The sequence below is a fragment of the Homo sapiens genome, chromosome 3 (assembly GCF_000001405.40).
Source record: "Homo sapiens chromosome 3, GRCh38.p14 Primary Assembly".
Classification (NCBI taxonomy): domain Eukaryota; kingdom Metazoa; phylum Chordata; class Mammalia; order Primates; family Hominidae; genus Homo; species Homo sapiens.
Window position 1 is genome coordinate 123,297,233 of NC_000003.12, and position 17,319 is coordinate 123,314,551.

The window sequence follows — 17,319 nt, forward strand, 5'->3', positions numbered from 1 at the left end:
GCCTTCTCCTTCACTACCCACCTTGCCACCAAGGCCCCTCCCACCTGGGCACCAGCTGCCCTCCCTGTCTGCTCTGTGCTGAGGGCAGGGAGCGACCCTATCCGAGGAGCATCAACTCACCACTGGGAGGTCCCGTTGTTGAAGAAGTCTCTGTGAAGAGAGTTGGGGAAGACTGGTCAGGGCCACCCTTCTGCATAAGGCGGCCTCCACTCCTGCTCAGCCCCCACGCCCTGCTCTGCTGTCCCCACCACTGCTGCTCCTTGGCTCCCCAGCCCCATTCACCCTCCATATCCAACGACATTTTCAGGGTGGGAGGTGGCAGAAAGCCCAGCCCCAACTAGCATTGGATACTCATGACCACAAACCACCCAGCTCTTACCTGAAACCCTGCCTTCCCAGACCCCAGCATATCTACCTGGGTGGAGGCCTGCCCGCCTCTCCCCCTCCCAGGCCTTTGCTGCCATCCAGAGGGCGTGGAGGAGAGATCCCACAGCTGCGCTGCTTGGTGTGGCAGCCGCTGGCCACGTGCAGCTACTGAGCCTCAACATGGGGCTGGTGCAAGCTAAAATGTGCTGTATGTGTAAAACATACACCAGGTTTTGAATAATTAGTGTAAAAAAAGGTAAAATATTTCATTAAGAATTTTATATCGATTATATCTTAAAATGATATTTTGGCTATATAGTACTTGTTAAATAAAAGTCAAATTATACTTTTTGCCTTTTTAATATGGCTATAAGAAAATTTTAAATTACATAAGTGGCTTTTTATTTTTTTATTTTTTTGAGACAAAGTCTTGCTCTATCTTCCAGGCTGCAGTGCAGTGGTGCAATCTCGGCTCACTGTAACCTCCACCTCCTGGGTTCAAGCTATTCTTGTACCTCAGCCTCCCAAGTAGCTGGGATTACAGGTGCATGCCACCACACCTGGCTAATTTTTGTATTTTTAATAGACGTGGGATTTTGTAGGCCAGGCTGGACTCAAGTGATCCAACCACCTCAGCCTCCCAAAGTGCTGGGATTACAGGTGTGAGCTACAGCACCCGGCCCACTTTTTATCTATTGGACAAGGTTGCCCTAGAGCCAAACCATGGTCTCCCAATCCAGAAATAACCTTCACTGTCTGTTGCCAACTTCAGCGCCTGAAGAGGAGATGCTGAGGATGGGAAGGAGCAGTAAGAGGAGGGCAACATTCCCTGCTCCAGCCCTGAACCAAGAGTAGAAAAGTTCCTGGACCTCCTGTTCCTTCTCAAAGGATGGCAGCTTGTCCCATGCTCCACTGTCCCATCTCTTTGTGGTCATCTGCCCATAGCCCCCACACAACCACCAAGAAGTTCTTCCTTGAATATGACTTAAACCCTTCATTACACCTCCACTTTCTCAGGCGACACCACCTTCCCAAGAGAGGAACATTCCTGAGAGTTTTCTATTTATCCACATTGTACCTCCACTGCCTAGCTCAGTGGCTGGCACATAGCAGGCCCTTCATATTTTTGAATGAATGAATGGGTGAACAAATGGATGGATGGATGAATCCCTTCCTCTCACTCAAAGAAGGTACAGTTTGCTGCATTTTCTCAGGGGACACAAAACTGTCACTTTTTTTTTTTTTTTTGCACTTCTTGGTGTGTGTATAGGGAGTGGTGATGCGTAGAAAAGCATATTACGAATCAGGCACTTTCAATACATCTTACTACTATGGGCGTTGATAATCCACAGTTCACATTTGCCAGGCTTCCAAATTAACCTGCTTCAGGGAGGTCTTGTGATTTACGGCAATATCCTGCCCGAGTGAAGAATCTTATCTGAGCTCCTCAAATTGCTGATGTACTGATTAATGCATAATCTATTGACATGAAAAAATGCTGATTCATTTCTGAATCATGAAGTTGTACCGATTGCTGGCATGTAGACATTTTAGTCTGTATGTTGCAATCTGTAGCCAATTATTGTAACCCTCCAATGACAAAGGACAACTCTGATCTGAGGAGTCCCCTTCCCTTCTACTTTCTTATGAAAGCATTCCCACTTGTAACAGCTTCTGGAACATGCCTAACTTGGTGCGTGTGTCTTCCTGGCCGATCCTCACATCCAGCTTCCAACAAAACTTGATCAAATTATTTCTGCCTCAATCACCTTAGTTTGGGTTGACAATATTCCCATTTTACAAAGAAAAAATTATGAGGTTCAGAGGAATAATCAATGTGTCTGAGGCTGAGATTCTAACCCAATTTCACCCAAAGCCTAAGGTCTTTCCCCTCATGGAGCCACCTCCCTTGGAAATCTTACATCTGTCACTACATGACCATGCTGACTGTGGGACCAGACAGCCATAGGCCCCACCTTCACACCTACCACCTCTAGGACGTGGGACCTAACCTCTGCCACCACAGCCAGGAGCCTTTGAGTAGTGCACAGATGCCCAGCCTTATGTGGTGGGCCTGCCTACTTGGCTGAGTTGCTGCAGGAGGAAGAGGAACAGCGGATATCCAGGCACCTGCCTCGAGGTGGGACACAGACCCTGTGAACAACAAAGCTTGTCCCTCTGCTCCCACACTCCTTACTGCCCGGCTCTGCTGGACCGTGACTCCTCTGAGCCTGGGGCAGCTGGACCGAGGTGAAAGCAGCCCACTGGAGGCTGCCCTGGCAAGCGGGGAGCAAACCAGAGAAAGAAACACAGTGGGGCCTGGTGACCTGAGGCCACTCCAACTACTGGGAATGGGAAGGAAGGAAAGAAACAAGGCCGTTTTCCAGATGTCAGGGCTGGGGAGGAACAAGATACTCTCCTCGCAAGTTCCCTGTGGTGCCAGAACCCTAAACCTCCTGCTCTTGCCACCTCCCTGCAATGTCTCATGCCCAGTGGGGAGCGTGAGGGAGGTGCCCCATACATGGCGTTGGCGGTGACCAGCAGGTCGGCGTTGTCGAAGAGCGTGACACCTGGCACCTCCACGATGAGCACGTAGATGAGCTCGATGGCCAGCATGAGCACCAGCTTCCCGATGCAGCTGATCTGCAGGAACACGGAGCAGGCCAGCAGGCTGAGCAGCACGCTGTAGGTGAAGTACTGCGGGCAGAGGGCAGCAGCATCAGCTCCCCAGGCCCTGCCCGACCCCGGGCCCTGGCCCCATGCATCCTCCAGTCTGAGCTGGCTCAAGTGAGGCCTGGGCTGGGCATGTTTCTGCTGATGTAAATTTCCCAACAGGTGTGATATAAAGTGAAGGGCCCTGGTTAGGAACCAGGAGATGGGCTCCAGCTGGAGTCTGGCCATTGCCTGCAGGACAGCCCCACGTTACAGCTGCGCTGCAGGCCCAGGCTGCCCTGGGTTTCAGGCCTGATCCACACTGGGCTTTGTGTGCCTCGGGCTGCGTGCTCAGCCCCTCTGAGCCTCAGTGTCCCCTCTGCAAGGCTTCCTATCTCATGGCTCGCTGTGATGAACACACGGAAGGAAGCCCTGGCTGCAGTGTCCAGCACCCTCAATAACCGTGGGGAGCCCCTAATCTGCAGCTTTGAACTCCAAAGCTCCAAAAGCAGAATGTGTTTTCATGACTCCTGTAGGGGGCCACGCCTGAACGGAGCTGCTCTGGTGGCAAAAGCTGACCTCACTTCTGGGACGCTAGTTATCATCTTTATCCTGTCCCCTGTGACATGCAGACATGCTACTACTGTGGAAATATGACCATTTCATGATCAGACTCCACTGGGGGTGGGAGGCAACCTTTTAAAATCTGAAAAATTCTGAAGACCAAAATATATGGGGCTCCAAAGGTTTCAGAGGAGGGATCGTGCCCTGTGCTGTTCCCTCTGGGGAAGCCCCTTCTGGTCTCTGAGCCTCCGTTTCCTTCTTAGACAACTGAGGGGCTAAACCAGGTAATCTCGGAGGTCCCCATCTGCTGCTGTCCCTTGATGCAGATGACGTCCCTAGGCACGTCAGCATCAATTATTATGATTATTATTATTACTATTTTAATTTAGCACCGTTGTTTCTGAGTCAGGCTTCCAGATGTTTACTCTTCGCACACGGCTTCTGCCCTGGGCTGGGGCAGCCCCTAGGGCAGACCCTCAGCCTCCTCAGGCCTTCTGGAGCCAAGGAAGGACTGCCAAGGGCCCCTGGGTGATTGGATTGTGGGGGGAAGCCTCACATCGCCACTGGGAACAGGAGCAGAAGAGGGAATGAGAAGGGCATGCCCAGATGAGTCAGCTCAGAGCCCCAGAGCCTCAGTCTTTGGGAGGAGGGATGGGAGCTCCAAAAGCCAGCTTGGATTCCCATTCAGACCTTGGCCCAGATAACCAGGAGGCCAACACTGGATGCTGGGGACCCCCCAGGGTCTGGTCTGTGAGGAGTTGCTGAATCAGGAGCAACCTTTGAGGGAGGTGGTCAGCTGGTGGGGGCTGAAGGCTGGCACCAAGCCTCTCCCACAAATGAGGAGCCAGGACCTGCCCACTGCCACCCTCTCCCCCCAGGCCTTAGCCTCACCAGGGGAGCCACCACCAAGGGGCAAGTACGAGACTGAAAATAGCCTCTGCTCCTCATAAACAGCCCTCAGAAAGCTGAAGAGCTCCTGTGGGCTCTCAGCCAGATATGAGAGGCAGCAGAGGCTAGGGAGGCTGGGGAGGGGAGGCTAGGAAGGGGAGGCTGGGTGCAGCATGGCTGCCTGGAGGAGACAGAGCTTGCCACCAGCCCAGGGGTGGGGCGGAGCGGGGGTGGGGCTGCACCTGCCTAGGTGAGCTGGGGCCAAGCCCTGCTCCTCCCTGGGCCTTCCCTGCCCTGTCTGTACATCTGAGAGCCAGATCCCAGGCTGGGTGGGGGGCCCACACTGACAGCCCACAGCACCCCTCAGCTGCAGTCACAGGCCCTTTGGGAGTTGGATGAAAACATAGACCTTCTCCCCAGAAAAAGGCAAACTGCCCCCATCTTACAGGCTTCATGTGTGCACCCATAGGGAGCTGGGGGTTTGGGAAGTTGGGGGCTGGAAGCTCAGCCCAGCTGCTGACAGCGAACTGCTTCCTGGCAAACGCAGTACCATGAACGAAGCAACTTGCACGCCACAGGTGCTTCATATATGCTGTTTTCTGAATAAGGATACGTGGTATTATTTTTAAACCCAAATGCCTGTAGGCACAAAATTTCTTTTTGGGGTGATGAAAGTATTCTAAAATTAGATGATGATGATGGCTGTACACATCGGTGAACACACTAAAAGCTACTGAACCGTGCACTTTGAACGGGTGAGGTTTATAGTAGTGCTGGTTTGGGACTGGGTTCCTTTGCTCCCCTCCCTCCTCTCTAACAGCTGGGGCTTAGGTGGGTTCTCCTGAGGTGGGGTAGGGTCTGCTACAGAAGCTGAGGGTCTATAAAGTTTTGCCCTCAGATCAGGAGCACGAACTCTGTCTGGAGCTGGACAACTTGAATGAGAGCTCCAGCTCTGTTGAGTCCTGGCTGTGTGATCTGGGGCAAATTACTTAGCCTCTCTGTGTATCAGGTTCTTCGTCTCTACAAAGGAGATAATATAATACCTATGTCATAGGCTGTTGGGAGGATTTAATGAGTAAGTGCAGGTAGAGCTCTCAGCCACAGTCCCTGGTAAGCACTATAGAAACAACAGCTACACCGCTTTAACAGTCATTGTCATATGGAGGAGGCTCCCCTTGTTCCCAGTGCAGACACTGGCATGTAGGAGTGAGAGATACTGGGGTAAGCAGGCCTCTAGAAGACAGTGAGCTGGTGAGACCCTGTCCTTCAGACTGTCCTGAGCAGCTGCAGTGACAGTGGGGGAGGGCAAGGGACTCTTCAGCACTCCCTTCCAGCCCCTGTGCACCCAGTACCTCGGGGAAGTTGCAGTTGGGCCAGGGGCTGCCACAGAAGCCCTGCTCATCGCCCAGGCTGTAGTTGACGGCCGACTCCGCCACGTGACACGCGTTGACCTGGCTCGCGCTGATGTTGTGCTCCTGTGCCAAGCAGCCCAGCAGGTCCCTGGAGTTGCACGTGAACTGGGGGGAGGAAGGAGGGTGATGAGGGGAGGGTAAGCTGCTGGGGGACAGGTAGAGCAGCCCAGCCCACCAGGCCGCAGGCTCCCGCCTGTCCTCCGCCTCAGGTGCAGCATGACACTGATGGGGACAAAATCTGAAAGAGTCTGAGGAACGGGCAAAGTCTGCCCAGCTGTCCTGGCTGGAGGGGGTGTGGCTAGCATGCCCTCCCAGGGAGGGGTTCTTAAACATGCCTTGGGGACATTCCCTAAACTCTTCCTGGCCCCACCAGGCTTGAGAATGAAGAGCTAAGAACTTCACTTAGTGGGAGAGTAGCCAAGCATAGTGGCTCATGCCTGTAATCCCAGTACTTTGAGAGGCCGAGGCCCGCGGATCACTTGAGCCCAGGAGTTTGAGACCAGCCTGGCGACCAGCCTGGCAACATGGGGAAACCCCATCTCTAAAAAAAACAGACAAAAATTAGCTGGGCGTGGTGGTGCACACCTGTAGTCCCAGCTACTTGGGAGGCTGAGGCAGGAGGACCTCTTGATCCCAGGAGGTGGAGGTTGCAGTGAGCTGTGATGGCACCACTGCACTCCAGCCTGGGTGAAAGAGTAAGACTCTGTCTCAAAACTGGAAAGAAAAGAGAAGAGAAGAGAAGAGAAGAGAAGAGAAGAGAAGAGAAGAGAAGAGAAGAGAAGAAAGAACTTGTGTGAGGCACATTGAGCCAAAGCTGATCCCAGACCCAGGTGCGAAACAAATAAGAACTTCCAGGGAAAGTCTCTCCTAGGCCTGCTTGTCGGGTACATGGCTCCACTGGGTTTGATCCAATGGGGCTGCGGAGGTGCTAGGAGGTCGTGCAGCCACCCACCATGTTGACAAAAGCCGCCAGGAACACCAGGGTGATGGTGAACACCCCAACCAGGGTGCTGTTCATCTTGGACCGCACGATCTTCCTGGAGAGGGTCTGCAGTGGGGAGGGGAAGAGCTAGGGTGGGGGCAGGGGTGGAGAGGGAGGGAGGGAGAGACGGAATAGCATTCAGCAAGGACTCCACAAATGGTCCCGGGAGTGCAGTGGACCCACCTGTGTCTCTCCCCAGCATGACCCCTGGGCCTTCCTGGTGGCCCTTCCAGCCTGCAAGGCTCCAGCCTTGAACCGCTGCACCATTGCTTCCAGGTCAACGGCAGGGCAGATTCTGCAGCTGACCAGGAGCGGGACTACGTGGGGAACCCAGGTGAGAGAGGCAGGAAGACAGGAAAGATGGTATCTTGACCCAACAGAGAAATCAATAAAAAGCACATTGACCCGCTGTGTGCCATCAGGGAGGGGCGGTGGGTGGCAGCTGAGGAGTCGTGGAGGGCTCAGAATGTTCCCAGGAGGGTTGAGAAGGCTTCTGGGAGGGAGTGGGCAGCGGTGAGTTTAAGGATTTGGAGAGGACTAGGCCTCTGGGCTCGGGAGGAGGGACTGACCAGCGAGGAGCAGGAAGGAGGTGGGTGTGGCCCTGAGCACTGAGTGAGCTCTATCCTTAGCACCAAGCTCCAAGGACCTGCCATTTCCCTCATTCTCTCCTACGCTGTATTCTTCCACCAGACAAACCATGTCTACTCAAAGACCCCCTGCAGCTTTGGTAATTAAATGATTGGGCTCCTAAGTCCCATTTCTGCCACCAAATCTGATGCAGCTGGCCTTGTAAATCATGTCCCCCTCATCTCCCATGCAACCTAGGCTGAAAAAGAATCTGATGGACAGAGAAGCCAAGCAGAGGATCCAGGATGCCCTACCCCTACCTGCCCCCAACACTTCCTGCTGAGGCCTATCTGCTACAGACAAGCTAGGTGTCTATAAAACCCCCCAAGGGCAGACAGGGTGGTTGAAAAAGCACTGAGCCAGGAGTTGGGAAGCCTGGGCTTGGCTTGGCTTTTCCTGTGTGTTCCTGAGCAAGCCGCATCCCATCTCTGAAGTCTCCTATTTGTACGGCTCTTGGGACCTTTGGGCACCCCCAGCTTTTGTGGTGAGTGAAGCAGGCAAAGGTCTCTACCCCAATCATGGGCTGTGAGCATCCCTGCAAATTCTTGCTTAAACTGCCAGACCACAAGGCTTCTCCATCCCGATACTGACAGCATCTGCAGTTGGCCACACTGACAGACAGCTAAGTAGGTCATGGGGCCATAGCATGACCACCATGTGACCACTTACTCCCAGTGGGGAGGGGAACTGGCTTGTGTGCTACAGTATTTGCTGCCAACTCAAAAAAGTGTCGGGCCCTTGGTCCAGTGTTCTTCAGCTGCAACCCAAACCCACTACATGTACAGCATCCATGAGGGCCCATCACATGGGACCTCAGTGGCAAAGGGACTTCAAACACAAATATGCTGACACTCATGCTGCTGTCTGTAACATGAGTAATAAAGTTTTTGTCTCTGACCCAGGAGTCTTGTGTCTTCTGCCAGCCTCTATGAAACAGCAACAAGCAAACTCATTAGCTTGTAAGTAGACAGAGTTCTTGACAAAAAGTCAGGCCCCTGCTCACCCCTGGGTCTTGGGCTTGGGGCTGGCTGTGTGCATAGGGAGGGTGTATATCTTTCTGACCCCAGAATCCTCCTCCACCCTTCCAGCAAAGCCATTTCCTATCAGCACAGGGAAAGAGGGGACCACAAAGATGGATAGATCACAGGAAGAGCTGCTGCCACGGCAGAGGCCTGGCAGTGCTCCGCCTCCCAGGTTCATGCCATTCTCCTGTCTCAGCCTCTAGAGTAGCTGGGACTACAGGCTGAAAGATGAAGGCCTGGGACTCCATCTCCCCAGCAGGAGAGCCTCCCAGGTATGCTCCTATACCATCAAGCCTGTGGCACATGTTCTGAACAAACACTGGGATAATAAAGGAGACCCTCTGGGATAATAAAAAGAGACCCTCTGACCAAACCCTCTTATGTGGTAGAAGGAAAGGTGTGATCTGGAGAGCATAAGCTTGTATTAAAATCCTGCTTAATAGACATAAAAATAAATCAAATACATTGAGGGTCCAGAAACAAACCTTTCCATTTATGGCCCAATGATTTTGACAAGCGTTCCAAGACAATGGTGAAAGGACAGTCTTTTCAACAAATTGTGCTGGGACACACAGATATCCACATGCAAAAAATGAAGTTGGGTCCCTACTGCACCCTGTACAAAAATGAACTCAAAATGGACCAGAAAACTTAAATGTAAAAGCCAAAACTACAGAACTCTTATGGGAAAACATACAAGTAGACCTTTGTGACTTTGGATCAGGCAATGGTTTCTTAGAGGTGACACCAAAAGCACCAATCAAAAAAGAAAAAAACAGATAAATTGGACTTTATCAAAATTAATTATTTTTGTCCATCAACTAACACCATCAGGAAAGTTTTAAAAAAGTATTGGTGAGGATGCAGAGAAACTGGAATCCTTGTGCGTTGCTGGTGGGAATGTAAAATGGGGCAGCCACTGGGGAAAACAATAGGGTAGCTCCTCAAAAAATCAAGCATAGAATTATCATATGATCCAGTAATTCCACTTCTGGGTATATCCCCCAAAGAATCTGAAACAGGGACTTGCACAGATAATTTGTACGCCCATGTTCACAGCTGTATTCTTCCTAATAGCCTGAAAGTGGAAACAATTTAATTGTCCATCAATTGATGAATGAATAAACAAAATGTGATATATCCATACACTGGAATATTTTTCAGGCATAAAGAGAGTAAAGTGCTGTTACATGCTACATGGATGAACCTTGAAACTAATATTTTAAGTGCATGAAACCAGTCTCAAAAGGCCATGTGAGATTCCCTTTATGTGAGATGTCCAGAACATGTGAATCACAGAGACAAAGTAGATGAGTGGTTGCTGGGGGCTGTGGTGATCAGGGCAGGGGGAGTGACTGCTAATGGGTCTGGGGGTTTCTTCTGGGGATGACAACAATGTTCTGGAATTAGCACCAATAGTTGAATAACTTTGTGAATATACTAAAAACTAGTGTATTAAAAGTTCATTCACCTTTATAAAGGTGAATTTTATGGTATGCATATTATGTCGCAATGAAGCTCTTATTTTTAAAAATCTTGCTCAGCCTCTTATTGGCTGTGTGATCCTGGGGCGTTACTCTACACTCTGAGCTTCCGTCTCGTTATTGGGAAATTGGGAATAGCTCTCACCCAGAGTGGCTATCAAGACTTAGTAAAGTGATGCATTTGAAAGTGCTCTGTAAGCTGTTAAACGCAACAGAAAAGTTAGTTAATATCTGCATTTTAAAGAGCTATATTGCCAATAAGAATGAAAGTCCTTACTTCCCATTTAAAGGAATTTTTGGTTTCACAGCTGGGGAAGTGTTTTGGCACTAGCATGAGGATCTTAGTCTGAAATGGTATGACAGATGGTTTCAAATCGTTGGCTGCTGAAAATTTTGTCATTCTATCTCCATCCCCTTCCCTCACCCCCACCCCAACTCCTATTTGCCCTATGTTGTTTAAACTGTTCAGTTCTGATCACCCCATCCACTGATTGAGAGGCTTCTTTCATCATTTTGCAATCACCAATGTAATGACTGATAGAGGCAAAGGTTACTAATACGTGCTAAAACTTTCTTAATAAAAGGTGGTTGGGGAATAGAGTATGCACATTAGCTTCCTGGTGAATATGGGACCAGGAGCCCCACAAGGACCATCCAGAGGCGAGGAGAAGAACTGCAGGCTTAAAAAAAAATCAGTGTTAGATGTGGCTCTACCATCTAATGAATGACTGAGTGTGCACTGGCTTGCTTGCTTGCTACAAGCCAACTTCCTCCATGCTCTTTTTTTTTTTTCATGCTCTTTTTTTTTTTTTTTTTTTTTTTGAGACAGAGTCTCGCTCTGTCGCCCAGGCTGGAGTGCAGTGGCATGGTCTCGGCTCACTGCAAGCTCCGCCTCCCAGGTTCACACCATTCTCCTGTCTCAGCCTCTAGAGTAGCTGGGACTACAGGCGCCCACCACCACGCCCGGCTAATTTTGTTTTTGTATTTTCAGTACAGACAGGGTTTCACTGTGTTAGCCAGGATGGTCTTGATCTGCTGACCTCGTGATCCGCCCGCCTCAGCCTCCCAAAGTGCTGGGATTACAGGCGTGAGCCACTGCACCCGGCCACACTCTACACTCTTTAAAAAGACTTTCTCTTGACTTTAAAACCTCAGTAGGAACTCAGGAATTACTGTTCTTTTGAAGTCTCCAGAAGATTTGACATCCTGTCTTGATATCAGTTTAAAGAGTGTCTCATCTCCTATAATTAGAGAGTTCATCTGTATGTCAGCCCTAAATCTAGATTTTACTAACCCCAGTTTGGATCTTAAAACTCTTGGCCACGCGCAGTGGCTCATGCCTGTAATCCCAGCACTTTGGGAGGCCGAGGCAGGTGGATCACGAGGTCAGGAGATCGAGATCAAACTGGCTAACAAGGTGAAACCATGTCTCTACTAAAAATACAAAAAATTAGCCGGGCTTGGTGGCAGGCACCTGTAGTCCCAGCTACTTGGGAGGCTGAGGTAGGAGAATGGCGTGAACCCGGGAGGCGGAGCTTGCAGTGAGCCGAGATCGTGCCACTGCACTCCAGCCTGGGCAACAGAGCGAGACTCTGTCTCAAAAACAAACAAACAAAAAGAAAAAACAAAAAAACTATCTGCCAGGGGCAAAGTCTCTTCCCAGGGCTACACCACAACTGCAGTCAGATCGTGGAGAGGATTTTCCAGCAGGATAACTGCCTGCACCAGCCAATCACTTAATGCTTGCTCGCAATCAGAGCCCAGAAAAAGAACTGTCTTCAAAAAATAAGTTCAGAACTAGTACATTCCCAATCTGATTAATTCAAATCAATTCAACATGAAAAACAGGAGTGGGAACATAGTTAATAAACCATGATTGGGGTAAGGAACAGTTTGATCCTGGCCTCTTTGAGTGTCTCCAGGTACATCGAAGACCTCCCCGGGCCCCTGTCTGTGATGCGGGGCCAGGGTATTGCAAAGATAAAAGGAGGGGATGAAATTGGATGGCAAAACAGTTTAAGAATACAGCCTCTTTGACAAGGAGCTAATAAAAGATGCAGTAGCTCCTACTTCAGAAAAAGAAAAAAAGGTAAGAAAACCACAGAGGTCAAACCTGGCAGGCAGAAGGGGTCCCCACGCCAGTGCTCTCATCACTTGGCCTTTCAGGAGTCAACTGGATATATTAGCACAGGCAGTGTCCTGGAGGGGAGGCTCATGGGCTCTGAAGTAAAAACCACCTGGGTTTAAATCCTAGCAGTAACCACTTCCTAACTCCAGGATCTAGAAAAAGCTGTCTAACCTCTCTGGGCCTCAGTTTCCTCATCTGCAAAGCAGACTCAATAAAAGCTACCTTTGAGGCTCAGGAAACACAGTTCCAAGTAGCATAGCTTGGATGTGCATCCTGGACTGTCCTGACTTGAAAAACACAGGGAGAACCTACAATATGCCTCCTGGAACGAAGACCTCTCCATCTCCTAAATGAATGACGTGTATGATGAGATGTGAATGGTGACAGGAATGTGTCCCCTGAGCATGCAGGGGGAAAGGTAAACATGGGAATCCTAAAATCTTCACAGGATGGAAGACACCTAGGAGGGGAGGGGTACTGGTTGCACAGTTAGACCCTATTTTAGAAACTGTGGACCAGCAGTTGAGTTGGAGTGGTAGAAAGGAGAACCAGCAAGGTGGGTTTAGCTACACGCAGGCTGCAGGGAGAGGAGGAGAGGCTCTGTCAGTGACTGCAGAGCAGACAGGGCCCACAGGAGGCTCTGGTCACAGATCCCAGGTGTTCATACAATCAGGTCCAGGGGATGAGTACCATGTAGACCAAAAGAAAAGCAAGCCATCAGGCTGGGGGATAAGAGAGAGAGATTTACACACACACACACACACACACACACACACACACACACACACACACAGCTACGCAGCTGAGTTCCCCCACAGGGCCTATCTGTACCTAAGTCCCAAACTGCTGGGAAGGAGTTTGGCCTTCTAATGAGCCACAGTAAGGGCTGAGGCACCTAGATCAGGCGGTGGGGAAAGGGGAGTCACCATTTGGGCGGTGGCGGCAAAAGTACCAGCACTGTCAGGTATAGACCAGGGCTGCTTCACCGGATGATGAGGCAGGAGCTCCAGGGAGTCCAGTGGAACATGTGGAGCTGGCCAAAGAGGGAAGGGGCTGCACTCAGGAGCTGTGAGTGAGCTCCCTATCCCTGGAGGTGATCAAGCAAAGCAGAGGCCGGCCCACCCCTTGCAGGGTTATCACTCGGAATTCCAGCCTCAGGTAGGTGGCTGGGCTCTCTCACTGCATGGGCCCCTTCCAACCTGAGATTCTCTGAGCTGCGGACAACGTGTGATGGTGAGCAGGGCTTTAACATGGTTTTCTCTACGAAAAGCAGTTCTGGGGCCTAGGTCAGCATAGAAGTCAAGGGAAGGAGGTTGGGTTCGTGCAGATGTGCAGACTTGCCCTCTAAGACAGCATCTCCAGAAGAAAGCACTCAAGGGTCCCTAAGGCAAGGCATCTGAGGGGCAGTGGGGGCTCTGCAAGGCAGCTGAGGCTCAGGAGTGAAACCAGGACTTGAGGACACGATGAAGACCAAGGCACCAAGTTAGCCCCGCTGAGAAATCCAGGGGAGTGTGTGAACTGCACTGAGCTGTGTCTGGAAAAGACTGAACAGGCCCGAGATAAAAAGGCCACCAGAGCACTTAGTAAGAAGGGAAAACCCGGAAAGAACCAGGGAAAACTGCTCCCTGACAGCCAGAGAAGACGACTCACTCTGTCAACACTCTCATATTTCTCTCTTCGAAAAGGTTAAAATATGGACAGTTCAAGGAAGTCAGTCCATGTTGTTCTGGGAAAATGGAAAAGTAAATGAAATAGAGAAAGAGACTGACACTAACTGGCTTGGGGGTAATTTAGGAACTGTCGCATCTCATTGCAAAGCCACTCTCCGTGACTTCTGAGAGACTGGGAAAATGAGAAAAAGTTTCTGCGTTCTGGTAAAACCGCAAATGTTTTTCAAAAAGAAAACAGAAGGACCCTAAACACTGCAGGCTAGTCAGCTTTGTGACAGCACCTGCAAAGGTGAGAAAATGAATTTCATACGGTCAACCCACTGCAGTGAGTGTGCCACGGTGCTCAGAGACAGGCAGACATTCACAGCGGGGAAGAAGGGGTACTGTTCCCCGCCATGCACATGGCAGGAGGTAGAGCCAGGGAGACGCTCCTTTCATGTCTTCACGTGCAAGCTGTTTAACCCACAACATAAAAGAGGGAAGAAGAAGAATTCAGTGGAAAGAAGTTCATATTACAAATGACTTCTCAAATTGGGCTCTGTGTTCCAGAAAGCGGACAAACCCTGAGAAGAGGCTAATCAGGCCAGGAGAGGAGGCGGCGGCAGGGATGGGAGCCAAGGGTGGGTGCTGGAGTCTATTCAATGGATGGACCACCAGCCCAGAGCGGCAGGTTCCAGGTTTCATAAGCCACTAAAATTCTTTACTGAAGCTTTCTATCTGTAAGATGGAAAAAGCAGGCTCCCTGGCTGGATGGTGTGGGACTGGGGGGACAGTGTTTGTGTGGCCTGGGGGTAGAGGGCGGGTATTCCATCCACCGGCCCCTCCCCCACCCAAGGAAACAGGCCTCTGCAGCACAGAGGCAGCAAAAATCACTGGACTAGATAAAAGAACTGAGAACTTGCTCAGTGAATTTGGCACTGATAACAAAATAGGCAAATTCAACAATACAAAAGAAGGCAGGGATGATTTTCATAACTCATCTTGAACTGTGGGAAAAAAACTCATTAGACCAAAAATGGCCAGTGAAGGTGGCTGCAGGCAGGAAAATGGGCCCATCCTTCCCCTCCTCCACAACTGACTGCAAATCAGGAAACTCAAATGGAATGAAATCAGTATAGCTCAGGTTCACCTAAGCCCCTAACAGAAAAGAAAGGAAATTTAGGTTCAGGCTTAAAAAATGGCAGACTATGCGCAGCTTTGATTCTGATTTGAATGGGCTAATTAAGTACCTGAAAGAAACAAATAAATAATGACTTTGCCTCAGTTCCTTACTTAAAAAAGAAATGTTCTCTTTGGGGTTCAGCAAAAGAACTTTTAACTATGGTTTACTTTTTTTGTAGGTGGTTGTGACTTTTCATTGTGGCAATATTTATACAACATAAAATCTGCCATTTTAACCATTTTTAAGCGTACCATTCAGTGGCATTAATCACACTCATGTTGTGCAACCAATATTGCTATCAATTTCCAAAACCCTTTCATCACCCCAAACAGAAACTCTGAACCCATTAAGCAATTACACCTGTTCTCCCTCCTGCCAGCCACTGGGAATCTCTGGTCTGCTTTCTGTGTCCATAAATTTGCCTGTTCTAGGCATTTCATATAAATGGAATCAGACCATACGTGTGACCTTTTGTGTCTGGCTTCTTTCACTCAGCGTCATGTTTTCAAGGTCCTTCTATGTCGTAGCATGAAACAGCACTGCATTCCTCTTTATGATGGAATAACATTCCACTGCAATTTACAGCACGTTTTGTTTATCTATTCATCTGTTGATGGATGCTTGGGTTGTTTCTGCTTTGTGGCTACTGAGAAAATACAGCATCCTTTCATAGCCACGGGATGAAGAAGTGGAACTGTCCACTCTGGATAAAGCAGGCTGGGGGGGGCCTTGACAACAGAAAGACCAAAAGGCAGGAGTGGCTGAACATGGGGCAGGAGGGAGGCTGTGGCCTTGAGGAAGGAGGGTCAGTGGACAGGCAGGGAACCAGCTAACGTTAAGCCCTACGATGCAGCCTATCAGATGCTACAATACTAGCAACGGATGGAGCACGCGGCTCAGCGTGGCGTGCTTCTCACACGTGCCCAATGGCTCTGGCTGACCCTGCCCTCTCTGGCTGTCCACCTCTGCACCTGCCAGGGGAGGTGAACCACACCAGGTGATTCCTAAGGTCCCTTCCAGTTCTGACAATCAGTCCACCAAGACCTTGACCATGACGTGACTATACGGTTAACAGACTAATAAGGGCCCTCTCTGGAGGGTGGAGAGAGAAAGGGGACTTTGGAGGGGATGAAGGTCCAATTCCTCCAGAAGGAAGACATGGTGCTCACTGCAGAAGAGGGTGCAGCTTCCAGGGGGCCCCACCGCCCACCCCAGAGGCTTGGCTCCTAGTGAGCGTCAGGGAGGAGTCGGAGAGGCTCAGCAGATGTGGGAGAGGCACAGATCTGTCCCAGGGATGAGTGCTTCCCGGAGGCCAGGCTGGTGCGTCAGGGATTTCTGAAACCACTAGTGAAGAAACTGAGGGAAAGGCCTGATGGGCAGGGCAAACAGGAACATAAGTGGTTTCTACCACAGACCAGAGTGACCCAGAGCCAGGTCGCATTGAGGGACACGGCTGGACAGGGGACACAGCACACCTAAGAGATATGGGAGAAAAACTCAGAACAAGAGCCACATTTCTGCTGCCAACACCAGCTGGCTGCATGACCTGCTTGAAAACACCAAAACACACTCCTCATCTATGTGCTGGGTGGCTCAAGACCTATAATCTCTGAGGTCCCCTCCAGGGAAAATCCCAGAGCACATGGGAGCACCAAAGCGGGTGTCGAGAGAGACCTCCTCCACACCCATTCTCTCAGCAAATATTCACTGGGCACTGCTCTGTGACAGACTTGGTGCTCGGTGCCCTTCCTTCCTTGTGCATAACATGAATAGGCACAGCACCCACAGCATCTTCTGGTTGCAGAGATTTGCCAAGGGCAAGTTAAAACAGCCAGTGAAGAACAGGCTCCCACTGACCATTTGCCAGACTCCAGGCGAGCTTGCTGCCAATGCCATTGGAGAGGTGTGGCTGGCATCAGGCACTCTCCCACCCCTGCCAAGCACAATACTCGGGCCCCTTCACATTTTGGGCCCCTGGGTAGGGCCCCTAGGGCTGAGAGAAGCGGGAAGAAGGTGGCTGCAACCCAGCTGTCAGCTACACTCACCTTTACGCAGGAGTAGATCACAGACACAAACACCACCAAGGTCAGCAGCAGGGAACAGGTCAGGTAGAAGCTGAGCATGAATATGGAGCTGGAAGGAGAGAGGAGGGGAGGGAGAAGCCAGGCTCAGGTGGCAGGGCTGCAGCTTCTGGGGGACCTGCCTGGCAAGCAGGCCACAGGTCCCCCGTGCCCATCCTCACAGCTTCAGAGGGCCTGGGCTCTGAAATCCAGAGAGGGAACCTGAAGTTGCTCCACCTCCCCTAATCCACTGCCCAGCCTTTTGCACTGACTCCCTGAGTAGGGCTTACACGGCCTTGCAG

The 17,319-nt window shown here is 50.6% G+C and overlaps 1 protein-coding gene across 18 annotated transcripts in view, besides 1 other annotated feature; it reads right to left on the reverse strand.

Annotated features, from left to right (window-relative positions):
- ADCY5 (adenylate cyclase 5) overlaps positions 1 to 17,319 on the reverse strand; it is a 166,795-nt gene that overhangs the window by 14,937 nt on the left and 134,539 nt on the right. For all 18 annotated transcript variants that reach the window (NM_183357.3, NM_001378259.1, XM_011512359.3 and 15 more), the window contains 5 exons: positions 17,003 to 17,090; positions 6,835 to 6,951; positions 5,823 to 5,987; positions 2,888 to 3,063; positions 121 to 150 (listed from right to left, as the gene is read on the reverse strand). In NM_183357.3, the coding sequence (NP_899200.1) occupies positions 121 to 150; positions 2,888 to 3,063; positions 5,823 to 5,987; positions 6,835 to 6,951; positions 17,003 to 17,090 (576 nt within the window). The remainder of the gene's footprint in view (positions 1 to 120; positions 151 to 2,887; positions 3,064 to 5,822; positions 5,988 to 6,834; positions 6,952 to 17,002; positions 17,091 to 17,319) is intronic.
- Positions 12,762 to 13,263: an enhancer, noted in NCBI's record as "H3K4me1 hESC enhancer chr3:123028841-123029342 (GRCh37/hg19 assembly coordinates)". NCBI's record gives its function as "activates a minimal SCP1, AML or CMV promoter by ChIP-STARR-seq in primed H9 embryonic stem cells {active_cell/tissue: H9 hESC(primed)}" and the evidence as "EXISTENCE:reporter gene assay evidence [ECO:0000049][PMID:30033119]".